We start from the raw sequence: 17,543 nt of genomic DNA, 5'->3' as shown, positions 1-17,543 counted from the left end.
TTGCCAGCATTTTATTGAGGATTTTTACATCAATGTTCATCAAGGATATTGGTCTAAAATTCTCTTTTTTGGTTGTGTCTCTGCCTGGCTTTGGTATCAGAATGATGCTGGCCTCATAAAATGAGTTAGGGAGGATTCCCTCTTTTTCTATTGATTGGAATAGTTTCAGAAGGAATGGTACCAGTTCCTCCTTGTACCTCTGGTAGAATTCAGCTGTGAATCCATCTGGTCCTGGACTCTTTTTGGTTGGTAAGCTATTGATTATTGCCACAATTTCAGATCCTGTTATTGGTCTATTCAGAGATTCAACTTCTTCCTGGTTTAGTCTTGGGAGAGTGTATGTGTCAAGGAATTTATCCATTTCTTCTAGATTTTCTAGTTTATTTGCATAGAGGTGTTTGTAGTATTCTCTGATGGTAGTTTGTATTTCTGTGGGATCAGTGGTGATATCCCCTTTATCATTTTTTATTGCATCTATTAGATTCTTCTATCTTTTTTTCTTTATTAGTCTTGCTAGCGGTCTATCAATTTTGTTGATTCTTTCAAAAAACCAGCTCCTGGATTCATTAATTTTTTGAAGGGTTTTTTGTGTCTGTATTTCCTTCAGTTCTGCTCTGATCTTAGTTATTTCTTGCCTTCTGCTAGCTTTTGAATGTGTTTGCTCTTGCTTTTCTAGTTCTTTTAATTGTGATGTTAGGGTGTCAATTTTGGATCTTTCCCGCTTTCTCTTGTGGGCATTTAGTGCTATAAATTTCCCTCTACACACTGTTTTGAATGCGTCCCAGAGATTCTGGTATGTTGTGTCTTTGTTCTCATTGGTTCCAAAGAACATCTTTATTTCTGCCTTCATTTCGTTATGTACCCAGTAGTCATTCAGGAGCAGGTTGTTCAGTTTCCATGCAGTTGAGCGGTTTTGAGTGAGATTCTTAATCCTGAGTTCTAGTTTGATTGCACTGTGGTCTGAGAGATAGTTTGTTATAATTTCTGTTCTTTTACATTTGCTGAGGAGAGCTTTACTTGCAAGTATGTGGTCAATTTTGGAATAGGTGTGGTGTGGTGCTGAAAAAAATGTATATTCTGTTGATTTGGGGTGGAGAGTTCTGTAGATGTCCATTAGGTCCGCTTGGTGCAGAGCTGAGTTCAATTCCTGGGTATCCTTGTTGACTTTCTGTCTCGTTGATCTGTCTAATGTTGACAGTGGGGTGTTAAAGTCTCCCATTATTAATGTGTGGGAGTCTAAGTCTCTTTGTAGGTCACTCAGGACTTGCTTTATGAATCTGGGTGCTCCTGTATTGGGTGCATATATATTTAGGATAGTTAGCTCTTCTTGTGGAATTGATCCCTTTACCATTATGTAATGGCCTTCTTTGTCTCTTTTGATCTTTGTTGGTTTAAAGTCTGTTTTATCAGAGACTAGGATTGCAACCCCTGCCTTTTTTTGTTTTCCATTGACTTGGTAGATCTTCCTCCATCCTTTTATTTTGAGCCTGTGTGTGTCTCTGCACGTGAGATGGGTTTCCTGAATACAGCACACTGATGGGTCTTGACTCTTTATCCAATTTGCCAGTCTGTGTCTTTTAATTGGAGCATTTAGTCCATTTACATTTAAAGTTAATATTGTTATGTGTGAATTTGATCCTGTCATTATGATGCTAGCTGGTTATTTTGCTCATTAGTTGATGCAGTTTCTTCCTAGTCTTGATGGTCTTTACATTTTGGCATGATTTTGCAGTGGCTGGTACCGGTTGTTCCTTTCCATGTTTAGTGCTTCCTTCAGGAGCTCTTTTAGGGCAGGCCTGGTGGTGACAAAATCTCTCAGCATTTGCTTGTCTGTAAAGTATTTTATTTCTCCTTCACTTATGAAGCTTAGTTTGGCTGGATATGAAATTCTGGGTTGAAAATTCTTTTCTTTAAGAATGTTGAATATTGGCCCCCACTCTCTTCTGGCTTGTAGGGTTTCTGCTGAGAGATCCGCTGTTAGTCTGATGGGCTTCCCTTTGAGGGTAACCCGACCTTTCTCTCTGGCTGCCCTTAACATTTTTTCCTTCATTTCAAATTTGGTGAATCTGACAATTATGTGTCTTGGAGTTGCTCTTCTCGAGGAGTATCTTTGTGGCGTTCTCTGTATTTCCTGAATCTCAACGTTGGCCTGCCTTGCTAGATTGGGGAAATTCTCCTGGATAATATCCTGCAGAGTGTTTTCCAACTTGGTTCCATTCTCCCCATCACTTTCAGGTACACCAATCAGATGTAGATTTGGTCTTTTCACATAGTCCCATATTTGTTGGAGGCTTTGCTCATTTCTTTTTATTCTGTTTTCTCTAAACTTTCCTTCTTACTTCTTTTCATTCATTTCATCTTCCATTGCTGATACCCTTTCTTCCAGTTGATCACATCGGCTCCTGAGGCTTCTGCATTCTTCATGTAGTTTTCGAGCCTTGGTTTTCAGCTCCATCAGCTCCTTTAAGCACTTCTCTGTATTGGTTATTCTAGTTATACATTCTTCTAAATTTTTTTCAAAGTTTTCACCTTCTTTGCCTTTGGTTTGAATGTCCTCCCATAGCTCAGAGTAATTTGATCGTCTGAAGCCTTCTTCTCTCAGCTCATCAAAGTCATTCTCCATCCAGCTTTGTTCCGTTGCTGGTGAGGAGCTGCGTTCCTTTGGAGGAGGAGAGGCGCTCTGATTTTTAGAGTTTCCGGTTTTTCTGTTCTGTTTCTTCCCCATCTTTTTGGTTTTATCTACTTTTGGTCTTTGATGATGGTGATGTACAGATGGGTTTTTGGTGTGGATGTCCTTTCTGTTTGTTAGTTTTCCTTCTAACAGACAGGACCCTCAGCTGCAGGTCTGTTGGAGTACCCTGCAGTGTGAGGTGTCAGTGTGCCCCTGCGGGAGGGTGCCTCCCAGTTAGGCTGCTCGGGGGTCCGGGGTCAGGGACCCACTTGAGGAGGCAGTCTGCCCGTTCTCAGATCTCCAGCTGCATACTGGGAGAGCCACTGCTCTCTTCAAAGCTGTCAGACAGGGACATTTAAGTCTGCAGAGGTTACTGCTGTCTTTTTGTTTGTCTGTGCCCTGCCCCCAGAGGTGGAGCCTACAGACGCAGGCAGGCCTCCTTGAGCTGTGGTGGGCTCCACCCAGTTCGAGCTTCCCGGCTGCTTTGTTTACCTAAGCAAGCCCGGGCAATGGTGGGCACCCCTCCCCCAGCCTCGCTGCGGCCTTGCAGTTTGATCTCAGACTGCTGTGCTAGCAATCAGTGAGACTCTGTGGGCGTACGACCCTCTGAGCCAGGTGCAGGATATAATCTCGTGGTGCGCCGTTTTTTAAGCCGGTCTGAAAAGCGCAATATTCGGGTGGGAGTGACCCGATTTTCCAGGTGCGTCCGTCACCCCTTTCTTTGACTCGGAAAGGGAACTCCCTGACCCCTTGCGCTTCCCGAGTGAGGCAATGCCTCGCCCTGCTTCGGCTCGCGCACGGTGCGCACACCGACTGACTTGCGCCCACTGTCTGGCACTCCCTAGTGAGATGAACCCGGTACCTCAGATGGAAATGCAGAAATCACCGTCTTCTGCGTCGCTCACGCTGGGAGCTGTAGACCGGAGCTGTTCCTATTCGGCCATCTTGGCTCCTCCCCGCAAATATTTCAAAGCATAGAACAATTAACGATGTATACACCCAAAATATTACCAGGAATTATCTCTAAGTGGCAAGATTATTATAATTTTTAATTCCTTCTTTGTGTTTTCTGTATATAAAATAGTTTAAAATATATATATAAATTGAGAAACTAATTCTAAAACTCATATGGAAGTGCAAAGAAATGAATAATCACAACAACTTTTGAAGAAGCATAAAGTTGAAAGACAAACACCATCTGATTTTAACACTTATTATAAAGTGCAGTAATCAAGACAGTGTGATATTGGTATAAAGACAGACAAACAGATCAATGGAACAGAATTGAAAGTCCAGAAATAGACCCATATTTAAATGGACAAGTGATTTCTAACAAAGGCATAAAGGCAATGCAGTACAAGAAAGGATAGTCTTGGCCAGTCGCAGTGGCTCACACCTGTAATCCCAGCACTTTGGGAGGCTGAGCCAGGAGGACTGCTTGAGCTCAGGAGTTCAAGACCAGCCTGGGTAACATGGGGAAACCCAGTCTCCACAAAAATACAAAAATTAGCCGGGTGTGCTGGTACATGCCTATAGTCCCAGCTACTTGGAAGGCTGAGGTGGATCACTTGAGCCTGGGAGGTCAAGGCTGCAGTGAGCCATGTTTGTGCTACTGCACTCCAGCCTCCAGCCTGAGTGACAAAGCAAGACACTGCCTCGAAAAACAAAACAAAACAAAAATGATAGTCTTTTTCAACAAATGGTACTGGAACATATCCATAAGCAGAAAAGTAAACTATACTTTGCACCATACGTAAAATATAACTTCAAGTGGACTCTAGACCTAAATGTAAAATCTAAAACTGTGAAACATCTAGAAGAAAGCCTTTTTGACCATGGAGTAGGCAAAAATTTCTTAGATATAACACCAAAAGCATGATCCATAATGAAACAAATTGGTAGGTTGTCCAACACAGTGAAACCCCATCTGTACTAAAAATACAAAATTAGCCAGACATGGTGGCACATGCCTGTAATCCCAGCTACTTGGGAGGCTGAAGCACGAGAATCACTTGAAACCGGGAGGCAGAGGCTGCAGTGAGCCAAGATCATGCCACTGCACTCCTGCCAGGGCAACAAGAGCAAAACTCCGTCTCAAAACAAACAAACAAAAAAACTTAATAATGCCAGGTGCAGTAGCTCACACCTGTAATCCCAGAAATTTCCGAGGCCAAGGCAGGATGATCCTTTGAAGCCAGAAGTTTGAGACCAGCCTGGGCAACATAGCAAGACCCCATCTCTACAAAAAATTAAAAAGTAAATTAAAAATTAGCTGGGCATAGTGGTATGTACCTGTAGTCCCAGCTAATTGGGAGGCTGAGATGGGAGGATCACTTAAATCCAGGAGGTCAAGACCAACTTGGGCAACATACCAAGACCCCTTCTCTACAAACATTTTTAAAAAATTAGCTGAGTGTGGTGGTGCATGCTGGTAGCCCTAGCTACTAGGAAGGCTAAGGCAGGGGGATCGCTTCAGCCCAGGAGTTTGAGACTGCAGTGGGCCATGATCTTGCCACTGCATTCCAGCATAGGTGACAGAAAGAGACCCTGTCTCTAAAATTTTTTTTTAATTTAATAAGAAGAAAGCAGCCTAAAAAAATGGATACAAGATCTCTCATTCCACTAACTATTAGAATAGCTAAAATAAAAAAGACTGACTATACGAAGTGCTGGCAGGGATGTGGAGGAACTGGAATTTTCATACACAGCTAATGAGAACTTAAATGGTACAACCACCAAACACTTAGGAAAACATTTGGACAATTTCTTAAAAAGTTAAACATACGCATACTGTGGCCTGGTGCGGTGGCTCACACCTGTAATCCCAATACTCTGGGAGGCTGAGCCAGGCAGATCACCTGAGGTTGGGAGTTCAAGACCAGCCTGACCACCATGGAGAAACCCCATCTCTACTAAAAATACAAAATTAGCCGGGCGTGGTGGCACATGCCTGTAATCCAGCTACTCAGGAGGCTGAGTCAGGAGAATTGCTTGAATCCGGGAGGAGGTTGCGGTGAGCCAAGATCATGCCATTGTACTCCAGCCTGGGCAGCAAGAGTGAAACTCCATCTCAAAAAAAAAAAATAAATGTTAAACATACACAATTGTGCAATCCAGCCATTCCACTCCTAGGTATTTGTCCAGAGCAATAAAAGTGTCCATACAAAGACTTATTCATCAATGCTCATACCAGCTTTATTTGTAATAGCCTAAAACTGGAAACGACCAAAATGTCCATTAACAGATGAATGGATAAACAAACTGTGTTATATCTATACAATGGAATATTACTCAGCATTGTAAAGAATGAAGTATTGATACATACTGCAACAGGGATGATTCTCAAAATAATAATGCTGAAAGAAAGAAGCTAGGCAAAAAAGAATACCTGCTGTTTGAGTCCATTTATATAAAACTCTAAAAAATGCAAACTATAGTGACAAAAAGCAGATCAGTGATTTCCTGGGGATGGGGGGAATGGGAAAGAGGTAGAAGGAAGGATTGCATAGGAGGAAACTTTTCGGGTGATGAAAAATTCATTTACTTGATTGTGGTGATGGTTTCAAGGGTGTATAAACATGTCAAAACTTATCACATTAGGTACACTTGAAATATGTGCAGTTTATCATAAGTCAAGTATACCTCAATAAAGCTGTTAAAAAATAACTGATTGCTTTTGTAAGGCAGAAATATGAGACTAAGGATATTGTATTACATCATGCATTGTAATATTTCATTACTGTGTGGCCCTGCTTAATTATTCATATACTAGTTAGAAAATTTTGTGATGTACAGATTATGGGTGTACCCTTGATAGCTGCCTGAGTTTGATTTTGTGGTCAGTTCTATAAAATTTTGTATATCAGTTCCATGGCCAGGAACATAATCCTTTATTAATATATTGTTTCTGTGGGAAATCAGAATTGGCTTATGTGATATTTACATAGTTCCCTCCTTCTGCCCTGGGCCTCCTCTTCTCAAATCCATCTCACACACTGTTGCCAGGCCTACCTTTCTTTTTTTTTTTTTTTTTTTTTTTTTGAGACACAGTCTCGCTCTCTCTCCCAGTCTGGAGTGCAGTGGTGCGATCTTGGCTCACTGCAAGCTCCGCCTCCTGGGTTCATGCCATTCTCCTGCCTCAGCCTCTCAAGTAGCTGGGACTATAGGCACCCGCCACCACGCCCGGCTAATTTTTTGTGTTTTTAGTAGAGATGGCGTTTCACCATGTTAGCCCAGATGGTCTCGATCTCCTGACCTCATGATCCACCTGCCTCGGCCTCCCAAAGTGCTGGGATTACAGGCATGAGCCACCATGCCCGGCCCAGACCTACCTTTTTTAAAGAAATCAGACCAAGTGGTGTGGCTCATACCTGTAATCCCAGCACTTTGGGAGGCCAAGGTGGGAGGATCACTCGAGACTAGGAGTTCAAGAGCAGCCTGGGCAACATAGCGAGCCCTGTCTCTACAAACATTTTTAAAAATTAGCTGGGTATGGTGGTGTATGCCTATAGCCCCAGCTACTTGAGAGGCTAAGGTAGGAGGATCGCTTGAGGCCAGGAGGTAGAGGCTGCAGTGAGCTATGATTGGGGAACTCACTCCGGCCTGGGTGACAGAGTGAGACTCCATCTCAAAAAAAGAAAAAAATCAGATTGCGTTCCTTCCTCATCAAGCCCCTGAGTGGTTCCAAATGATAAAGTCTAAACTCTGTAACAGGACATTCAAGCTCCCTCACAACCACCCCATCTCCCTCACGGTCCTGTCTCCCAGGACCCTGTCCCCCTCTTTATGACTCTGGACCTTTCACCAGGTGCTTACATCATTTCAAGCTTTTGCTCAAACTGCCCAACTGTCAAGTACCTGCTCCCCTTTCACATTACTTGTGCATCTGGGAAATTCTCCTACCCTTCAAGACTAATTTCAAATATCACCCCCTATTGGAAGGCTTCCCAGATTTCTCCCAGACAGAGTTAATTAATCACCATTTTCACTGCACTCCCATGACGCCTTGCACATGCCCATACTAGTGCACTTATTCCATTGTATTGTAGTAATTAAGGTGCAACTACATTAGGTTTAATGCTCCGCTGCTGTAACAAGAAAATCCCCAAATACCAGTGGTCTAACCAAGTTCATTTCTCTCTCGCATCCAAGTCCTAACTGGCATGCTTGTTCAGCTCTACAATGTTGTTGAGATCCAAGCTCCTTCCACAGTCAAGCGTGCCTCTCCAACAGTCCACCTTCCAGCCATCAGGACAGGGGAAGGGGACAGCGTCTCCTGCCTTTTTATGGCATGATCTAGACTTGTACCAGCACTTGATTCACATCCCATTGGCTAGAACTTAGTTACAGCCACATATAACTGCAAAGGAGACAGGAGAATGCATTTTATCCAGGGGTCCATGCGTTTCACTAAAAGTCAGATGCTGGACTATTATGAGAGGCAAGGGAAAAGTGAATCTTGGGGTACATTATCAGTCTCTGCCACAGTTCACCAATTTAGCCACCCAGGTATCACTTTTATTTTCACATACAAAAGACAAACGCTACCTTTGGAGGAAAACCATCTCAAGTCCCACACTGTCCTGTGCCCCACACCTCAGTCAGGCCCGGACGTGGCTACCTGTGGCCTGGAGACCAGAACACTGAAAGACACGTCATCTGCCCCCACCCTCCCCTAACACATAATGATGGAATATCGTGGGATGGAATGATGGAACAGGAACCACATACCACAATTAAAAAACATCTCTTTCGGAAAATCAAACAATGGGAACTGCACAGATGGCCCCAGTCTATAGCAATTACCAAATAATGCCAGTCAGAAATTATAAAGACTCTTTGCTCTTCCATTTTCTGGAAGTCACTCCCTTGTCCAGTGTTTTCTTTGGCCCCTGGTTTTGCCCTCTGGGGGGGGCTCTCATTGGGTTATCATCCTACATCTGAAGTGGGCATTGGAGAACATACTTCTTTCAGGCTTCCGAACTATTTGCTTCTAGTCAGTTCCATGTGCAGGTAACTCCAGCCAAAGGTCTTGTCTTGACAGAGTTTGCCAGCCTGAAAACTCTGGTTCTGTTTTTACTGGCATCTGTGCTCTCCCCAGACCCCTCTCTCAGCTGAATGGCTGTTATCTTCAGGCCATCTGAGACAATAGGCTTGGGTGGAAAGGGAACACCCTTAATCTGATCTTGGCTGCCGGCTTACTCCCATTGTCTGGTAGAGAATTCTTAACTGGTAAAGCCTGAGAATGGCTCAGGGCCATCATCTTACCTCCCACTACGGCTGTCTCCGCAGCACCAACTTAGGTCGCTGCTTCCATTTGGGATCTAGAAGGCGCTTGGGTCTCCTAACTCTTCAAAGCTCCAAATTCTGAGACTCCCAGTCAACTTAGATGACAGGCAGCAGGCAGTGGGTTCTCTTGGCCAAACTATATTCCCTTCCCTCTCTTCTTGCAGACTCGCCAGGTTTAACCCCACTGCATTCACCTCTCTTTTCCAGGAATTTGCTGAAAGCAGCAAGTCGTCGATACTCACTGATTCTCAAGTTGTCCTAGAGTTACAGGCTCAGAGATCATGTGGTCTCCCTGCCAAAGGACCACAGATGACAGTTTTCCTGAGTCTTTTGCCAGAGCACAATGAGGGTCACCCACTTGCCAGTCTGCAATATTGATGTCTTCTCCACCTGACTTTTGTAAGCCAAAAATATCTGAGACAGGTCTCAATCCATCTAAAAGGTTTATTTTGCCAAAGTTAAGGATGCACCCATGACACAGCCTCAGGAGTTCCTGACAATATGTACCCAAGGTGGTCGTGGCACAGCTCGCTTTTACATATTTTAGGGAGACATAAGACATCCATCGATATCTGTAATGTGTACATTGGTTTGGTCTGGAAAGGCGGGTCAATTTGAGGTGGAGGGGCTTCTACGTCATAGGTAGATTTAAAGATTTTCTGATTGACAATTGGTTGAAAGAGTTATCAATAGAAAGGAATGTCTGGGTTTCAATAAGGGGTTGTGGAAACCAAGGTTTTACCATGCAGGTGAAGCCTCCCCACAGCTTCACCACAGGCTTCGGAGAGAATAGATTGTAAATGTTTCTTATCAAACTTGAAGAGTCTGTCCTAGCAGTAATTCCAAAAGAGAGGAGGTTAATGAGACACATCTGGCTTCTCCTTCCCCTCATGGCCTGAACTAGCTTTTCAGGTGAGCTTTGGAATGCCCTTGGCTGAGAGTAGGGGTCTATGCAGCTGGTTGAGGGGCCTTAGAATTTTATTTTTCCTGTGCACTACGAAGCCAGTGTCATGTCTATGAGACTCTTTTATGACAGTACTCTCCTTTCAGATATACTGAATTAGTTATGGAATAGATTTTGGCAGCTATAACTAGAAGACCACACATGAGAGCAGCTTAAACAAGAGAGAATTTTATTTCTCTGCCATGAGAGAGCTGAGCTGGTGTGATGGTTCTGCTGTACAAAGTCATCAGGGCTCTGAGCTTCTTTTGTCTTGAACCTCCACCATCCAGAATGTTGTCCTCAGCCACAGGGTCCAACATGATTGACCCCCAAATTCCCATTCCAGTGAACAGGAAGGGCGGAAGATGCAGGGCAATGTGCAATTTAATAGTTGTATACATTCCTTCTGTTCACCTCTGCTATGGTCCGAATGTGTCCCCCAAAATTAATGTGTTGAAACTTAATTGCCAGTGTGATTGTATTAAAAGTGAAGCCTTTGGGAGGTGATTAAGTCATAAGGGCAGAGCCCTCATGAATGGGCTTAGTGACTGACATGGTTTGGATATTTTGTTTCCTCCAAATCTCATGTTGAAATGAGACCTCCACTGTTGGGGTGGGCCTAATAAGAGGTGTTTGAGTCATGGGGGCAGATCCCTCATGAATGGCTTGATACCCTCCCTATGCTAATGAGTAAGTTCTTACTCCGTTAAGTTCATGTGAGAGCTGATTGTTTTTGTTGTTGTTGTTGTTGAGACGGAGTCTCGCTCTGTCACCCAGGCTGGAGTGCAGTGGTGCGATCTCGGCTCACTGCAAGCTCCGCCTCCCGGGTTCACGCCATTCTCCTGCCTCAGCCTACCTGAGTAGCTGGGACTACAGGTGCCCGCCACGGTGCCCGGCTAATTTTTTGTATTTTTTTAGTAGAGACGGGGTGAGTGCTCATTCTTTAAAGAAGCCTAGCACGTCCTCCTCTCTCTTGCTCCCTGTCTTTTCATGGGACACACTGGCTCCCCCTTTTCCTTCCCGTAAGCTTTCTGACTGTAAGCTATCTGAGGCTTCGCCAGAAGCTGAACAGATGCTGGTGCCATGCCTGTACAGCCTGCAGAACTGTGAGCCAAATAAACCTCTTTTCTTTATAAATTACACAGCCTCAGGTATTCCTTTATAGCAACACAAATGGACTAATACAGTGACCTTATAAAAGAGGTTGAAGGGAGCACCCTAGTCCCTTTCTTTTGCCCTTCCACTGTCTGAGGACACAGCAAGAAGGTGTCATCTTAAGAGTAGAAAGTGGCTGGGCACAGCGGCTCATGCCTGTAATCCTAGAACTCTGGGAGTCCAAGGCAGGCAGATCACCTGAGGTCAGGAGTTCAAGACCAGCCTGGCCAACATGGAGAAACCCCGTCTCTACTAAAAATACAAAAATTAGCCAGGCATAATGGTGGGTGCCTGTAATCCAGCTACTTGGGAGGCTGAGGCAGGAGAATCACTTGAACCTGGGAGGTGAGGTTGCAGTGAGCCAAGATCGCACCACTGCACTCCAGCCTGGGCAACAAAGCGAGACTCTATCTATCATCTCAAAAAAAAAAAAAAAAAAAAAAAAAGCAGAGAGCAGCCCTTACCAGACACTGCATCTGCCAGTGGGACTTCCTGGCCTCCAGAACTGTAAGAAATTACATTTCTATTGTTTATAAATTACCCAGACTTAGGTGTTTTGTTATAGCAACTGGAACAGACTAAGACAACCTCCCTCTGGCTAAAACATGGTCATAGGGCTACTCTTAGTTGCAAAGGAGACCATGAAATGTAGTCCTTATTCTGGGCTGCCATGTGCCCAGCTAAAAACGTGGGGATTCTAGCAAATGAGAAACAGGGGTGTAGGGAGATAATCAGTCATGCCTGCTACAGTCTGTCTCCTCTTGAAAGAACTCTTTGAGGGGCGAGGACCACATCTTACCATCTTTACAGGCCCAGCCAAGTGCCCAGAAGCATAAGTGACCACATATGTTCAAGTTCCATTTTCTCAGACTATGACTCAATTCCATCATAATGGGCATTTATAGTGCAACTTGTGTCTAAAGCACCCTTTATCTATTTAACTAAGGTGCCTCTAGCTTTCATGTCTTCAACTTCTCCGGTTTTGTGGAATCACCTTCCATTTTCCAAAATCCCTGAGGGTTCTTTGGGGTGAGCGTTTCAATTCAATGGGCTCTCCAAGGTCACTTTGCTCCTTGTTGTGGCTGTCAGCCTGTGCCTGCTATCCGCTCTCTGAACCGCCTCTCTCTAAGCTGACGCCCATCTCTCTTTCATCCCTTCCAATGAACCACATACCCAAGGCTCTTGTGTGTGGCCAACGTTTGGTCAAGTTCGGGAGGAATGGGGGGTGATTATAGCACAAGGTCAAAAACAACTTCAAGAACACATATCACATCTTCAAAACATGTTGGTCACTCCCCAGCACAGGGAATCTCTTCCTGGCATTGCTTCTTGGCCGGTCCTTACTCTGCCCCACACCACATTCTCTAAGCCTCCCTCTCTCTCCTGATGCCAGGTATCTCTCTGTTCTCATCCATTTCTTGTGCCTTGACCGCGTTCCTGAGCGGCCCTCACAGCATCAGCATTAGCATTCCTTTCGCTTTATTACGCAGATCTGTTCAGTTCTTGCTTCATCTCAGCCGTACATATTCAGGGGCCCTCAGTTTTCTAAACCCTTGACCCATCACTGTGTTTCTGTAGGCAGAAGGCTAACAAGCCCTGAGATGAATGATGCTCTTCCCAAGGAAGGCAGAGGAGGCGACAGTCCATTTGCGTTCTCTCCTCTGCAAGTACAGGATCTCGTTTGATTCTCAAAACCACCCTAGAGGAGACAGGAGGCACCTGAGGCCCAGAGACGTGAAGCCACCTGTCCAAGGCCATACAGCAGGTAAGAGGCAGGGTCGGGCCCCACACTGTGCTCCAGTGCCCCTGTTCTCAAGAGGAGCAACCCGCATTATCTTGTGTCATCTCTGAGTGCTCTGTGACACGAGACTTATTTTCTCTTTCCCACTCCTAACCAGGCTGGTCCCATGACAGCCACATGCAGGGCCCACCTGCCCTGCCAACACCGTGCTCAGGGCAAACACAGCTCTAGGGACACTCTCCTTGGATGCATCCTACTTAACAGTCCCCTGAACGCACCCACATGGACTCCAGCCTCAGATTCCCAAATGTCCTGCCCCCACCCACTTGCAGGGCCAGGTCAGTCCCCACTAGAGGGTGGGAGGGGAGGTGGTAGTGGGGAGGAGGGAAGGGGAGAGGCTGGGTAAAGGGCTGGAATTGAATAGCTGCTTTCTTCTCAGAGGCTTCCCCCACCTCCAAGTGGTCATTGATTAACCCTCTAGACCAGATAAACCCTCCATGGGAGGAAAAAAATGTGTGTTTATCTTGGGTCATAAAACATCAATATTGACTTCTCACCGGTAAAGCCCCAGGGGAAGAGGAGGTGGGGGCTGTGGGAGCAAGCCAGCCTGGGACACACTTGCCTGACACCCAGAGGCCAGCACACACATTCTCCTTCCCTATCGAGAAGAAGCCAGATTCCCACCCCACCTCCACCTCAAAGGCATGCCCTGAGCCAGAGGCCTGGTCTCGCTGGGCCTCTTCTCTGCAACCCGCAGCTGCATGGAGCCCCTTCCCCTTCCTGCATTGCCCCTCTGCCCTGCTCCCTGCAGATAACAGAGTTATACCGGACCCAGGTCAGGAATCAGACTGCCCCTGCTCTGCTGTTTCCCAGCTCCAGGACTTGGACAAGTGGCCCGATTTATGCCTCAGTTTCCTCGTTTATGAAATGGCCATAGTAATAGCACCCTGCTCTCATCACTGTTTAGGATGATCAAACAGGATCACGTACGCATATAACAAGCACTAGAGCTGGTCCTGCTGTAAACAGCATCACTCACTCTCTCTCCTCTCCTCCTGCCTCTTGATACACAGCCCTTTGTGGACCTTCCTCCTTGCTCTTGGCTGAGGCCTCCCTGATGGGGTGGACAAGACCATATTCACACAGGGCCAGAAACCAGAGGTGGTCATGGTCCCGCCAGGACTGGGGGATCTCTCATCCCTCTTCCCTCTGGCCTAGAATGAATCAGCTCTCCTGACACCCTCTTGGGCTGGCATTTTCCATCAGAGGGCCTGAGGAGGGTGTCTGTGGCCATGTGCTGCTCCGGGTGGGGACTCCGGGTCTAAGCATGCAGCTCCACACAGCTCAGGGACCCTCACACCTTCATTCTGGGGTCTTCTCTCTGTCCTCCATCTCCTTCCTTTTTGGGGTAAAGGTGTTTCTCCCCCTCCTCCCTGTCCTTCTGAGGGTAGGAATGAGGATGTTCTCCATGCAGAATCTCCAGCCACCCTGGCCTGGGCACTTTCTACCACATTTAATCCTGGACTTGGGGAGCAGTGGGGGAGGCATTTGGGGCTCCTTGATCCTTACTCAAGGCCGGCGCCCTCCATTCCCCTGGCCCCAGGTGAGCCCCACCTGATGCCCTGGGAGGCCCAGGCCCCAGACCCATGTGCCCTCCATCCACTGGGAGGCCCAGGCCCCAGACCCATGTGCCCTCCATCCAGCTGGACAGCGGGGCCCTGTCCCTGGGTACCTGGTCAATAATTAACACTGAGCAAACTCGGGCCATGGCCAGGCCTCCCAGGAGGATCAAGATGAGACAAAAGCCCTCCTGTCTGGCTGTGCTGCCATCTTGGTGGAGGGTTACTGGCCCCTCAGTCACCCCAGAGTGACAAACAGCCCCATCTCCATCAGGGAACTAGAGCAGCTGCTACCCAGCAAGGCACTGGTGACACTAGGCCCTAGAGGAGGACAAACAAGGGTGGGCAGGCAGTCACATGCCTGTTTCTTAGCTCCAGCTTCATGTTTGTGAGTAAGCCTAAGACAGAGGCTGGTGAGCTGAGGGTCCACTGTGGGGCTCCTCAAGCTAGGGTGCTTTTGTAACTTGGCTCATGGGGGGTGGTCAAACCAGAGACCTGCCCGCATCCCTTTGAGACCAGCTCTCAGCTCCCTCTTCCTTCTTCCCACTCTCCTACCCTTCCTTCCTTACTTTGAGTGTCTTCTGTATGCAAAGCTTAGTGTCCTTTCATCTCTCCCCATCCCCCAAACTTTCCACGCCTTGGTGCCTTTGCTTACAGTGTTCTCATAATCTTGGAAACCTGTCCTTTTTCTCCATCTGAGAATCTCCTTCCTCCTCCAAGAAGTCCACTTTGAGCCCTCCCTGATCCCATCCTCTTGGCACCTCCCACATGGACGCTTCTCTGCAGCTTCGCATCTCATTGAGCACTTGCGCTGCCTCACCAGCTGCATGGGAAGCTCCTTGTGGGCTGGGAGCCTCAACTCCCTACCCCTATCATGCTCAAGGGGCCATGTTAGTAGGTTTATCAGCAATGCCACCCTCAGCCACAAATTAGGCAAGAAGTTATATAATACATTCTTACAGAACAGCAACTCAGGAGACAACTTCTACACTGGTCAGAAAATTCCAGATACAAAGCAGTTCCCAAAGTCAGCCTTGCCAGCCCAGCTTCCCTCCAACTGGCTGCCCAAGATGTCTGAGAACTCATCATCATCCCTTCCTCTCCCCGCCCACCACTCCCCCACACCAGCATGCCCCCAGGTTTTGGACGTTTCTGACTGCCTCCTGATCCAGCCTTAAGTGCATTCCCCACAGCCTCCCAGCCCTTCCTCCCTGTGGCAGCCCCACACTCACTGCCAGAGCGCCCTGGGCATTCTTTCCCCAGCAGTGACAGAGCGGCTGCCAGTGACGGCCTCTTCTTGCCGGGCTGCCCTGGTCCCCCCCTTCTCAGACACACGTTCATCTCTTCCCTTGGCTCACACTTCCTCCCTCTCAGCCTTCTCGGCATCAACCCACCTGTCTCTGCCCAGGTGTGCTTTGAAACAAAAGTTCACAGTCAACATAAACTCACTACCATCTATGCTACACTGACCACCTAAAAGTTCAAGCAGAACCAGAAGCTCTTTCCAAGGAAGGCATCCCATCCCTAGGAAGACTAAGGGTGACAAGTTGGCTTTTTATTTCAGGCTGAAATCGAACTGAGATGTAGGGACCCACACAACCTCCCACCCACCCCAGCTGAGGGGAGGAAATGAGTGACAACTTGGGGGCAGGTAGTATCGGAGTTCAGGTGTCCCAGGGGAACAGACACCTCTGTGCTACCAGACAGCCCTTCTCTCAAATATTCTGCTCTGTTGTCTCATAAATATCCTCATTCTTACCAAAGCAATGACACCAGTTTAGAGTCTACAAATGATGGCAGCTGTCCTTAGGGAGTGCAGGACCTGGGGAGAAGGGCAGGCTGGGAGCCACAGGTCCTGGGCTGGGCGACAGCCTCTCTGGATCAGCCACCACTCACACCAGCCAGACCCTTTCCTTCCCTCTGCCCCTAGGACTCTACCCTAGAAACTATGGAAGTTTCCCTCCTGAGCGCTCCAGCCCTCACCAGCTCCTTCAGAGAGGGGCCTGCGGTGGACATCCTGTTTCCACGCCCCACTACCCCCACCAGCCACCCCCAACTCAGTGCCCTACCTAGGCCAGCTCTGCCATCACCAGCCCACACAGATCTGTCCACTGGCAAGGGGGACACTCCCCTCCTTTGTGACAAGTGTGGAACCCAGCCCCAAGAAGAAGTGGGGAGAGAAGGGGAACCAGCAGGGCCGGGAGGCCCAGTGGGAGTCCCCTGGGCCCCTCAGGTTTCCCTCTTGACGCAAGATGGGAGATTGAGAGGTGCTAGGCATGTTCCCCAAGAGCTGTTGTAATTTATTTTGTCATTCATTAGTAAGCCCCCTTGCCATAGCAAAGATTCCTAGGAGCTGGGCTCATGGCTTATGCCTGTAATGCTAATACTTTGGGAGTCTGAGGCAAGAGGATCGTTTGAGCCTAGGAGTTCAAGACCAGCCTGGGCAACATGGTAAGACCCCGTTTCTTTCTTTCCTTCCTTCCTTTCCTCCTTTCCGTTCCTCTTTTCCTTTCTTCCCTTCCTTCCTTCTCTCCTTCCTTCCTTCCTTTTTTTTCTTTTCCTGCCAGGCCTTCCAAAGACTTCTGGAACTTGTTCACCTCTTCCTGTCCCTACTTCTCTGCATGCACAGCCTGGGTTACAGATTTTTTTTTTTTTTTTTTTTTTTTGAGACAAGGTCTCACTCCATCACCCAGGCTGGAGTGCAGTGGGCAAATCTCGGCTCACTGCAACCTCCACCTCCTGGGCGCAAGTGATCCTCCCACCTCAGCCTCCGGAGTAGCTGGGACTACAGGCATGCGCCACTAACGGCCGGCTAATTTTTGTGAGTTTTTTTTTCTTTTTTTTTTTTTTGTATGTTTTGTAATTTCGTATTTTTTGTAGAGACAGAGTAGGAGAATCGCTTGGGCCTGGGAGGTGAAGGCTGTAGTGAGCCGTGATCGCGCCACTACACTCCAGCCTGGGTGACAGAGTGAGACACTTTCTCATATATATGTTCCTAGGAACCCCTCCTCCCCAAGCCCCAGCTCGGGGCACTGAACACCTCCTGAGGGCATAGAATGTAGGCAAACCCTGGGAGTCGGGGCTGCTTAGAGAGGCCCCCCACGGTGCCACGCCATGGCCAAACGC

At 47.2% G+C, this 17,543-nt stretch overlaps 2 annotated features.

Annotated features, from left to right (window-relative positions):
• Positions 2,740 to 3,292: an enhancer, noted in NCBI's record as "NANOG-H3K27ac-H3K4me1 hESC enhancer chr2:43216953-43217505 (GRCh37/hg19 assembly coordinates)". NCBI's record gives its function as "activates a minimal SCP1, AML or CMV promoter by ChIP-STARR-seq in naive and primed H9 embryonic stem cells {active_cell/tissue: H9 hESC(naive and primed)}" and the evidence as "EXISTENCE:reporter gene assay evidence [ECO:0000049][PMID:30033119]".
• Positions 3,586 to 3,759: a transcriptional cis regulatory region, noted in NCBI's record as "candidate enhancer chr2.1678 targeted for multiplex CRISPR interference". NCBI's record gives its function as "positively regulates THADA gene expression in K562 cells {active_cell/tissue: K562}" and the evidence as "EXISTENCE:mutant phenotype evidence [ECO:0000015][PMID:30612741]".

This window comes from Homo sapiens, chromosome 2 (genome assembly GCF_000001405.40).
Source record: "Homo sapiens chromosome 2, GRCh38.p14 Primary Assembly".
Lineage (NCBI taxonomy): Eukaryota > Metazoa > Chordata > Mammalia > Primates > Hominidae > Homo > Homo sapiens.
The sequence above is the reverse complement of the archived record's forward strand: the minus strand, read 5'-3'. Positions and strand labels throughout refer to the sequence as shown.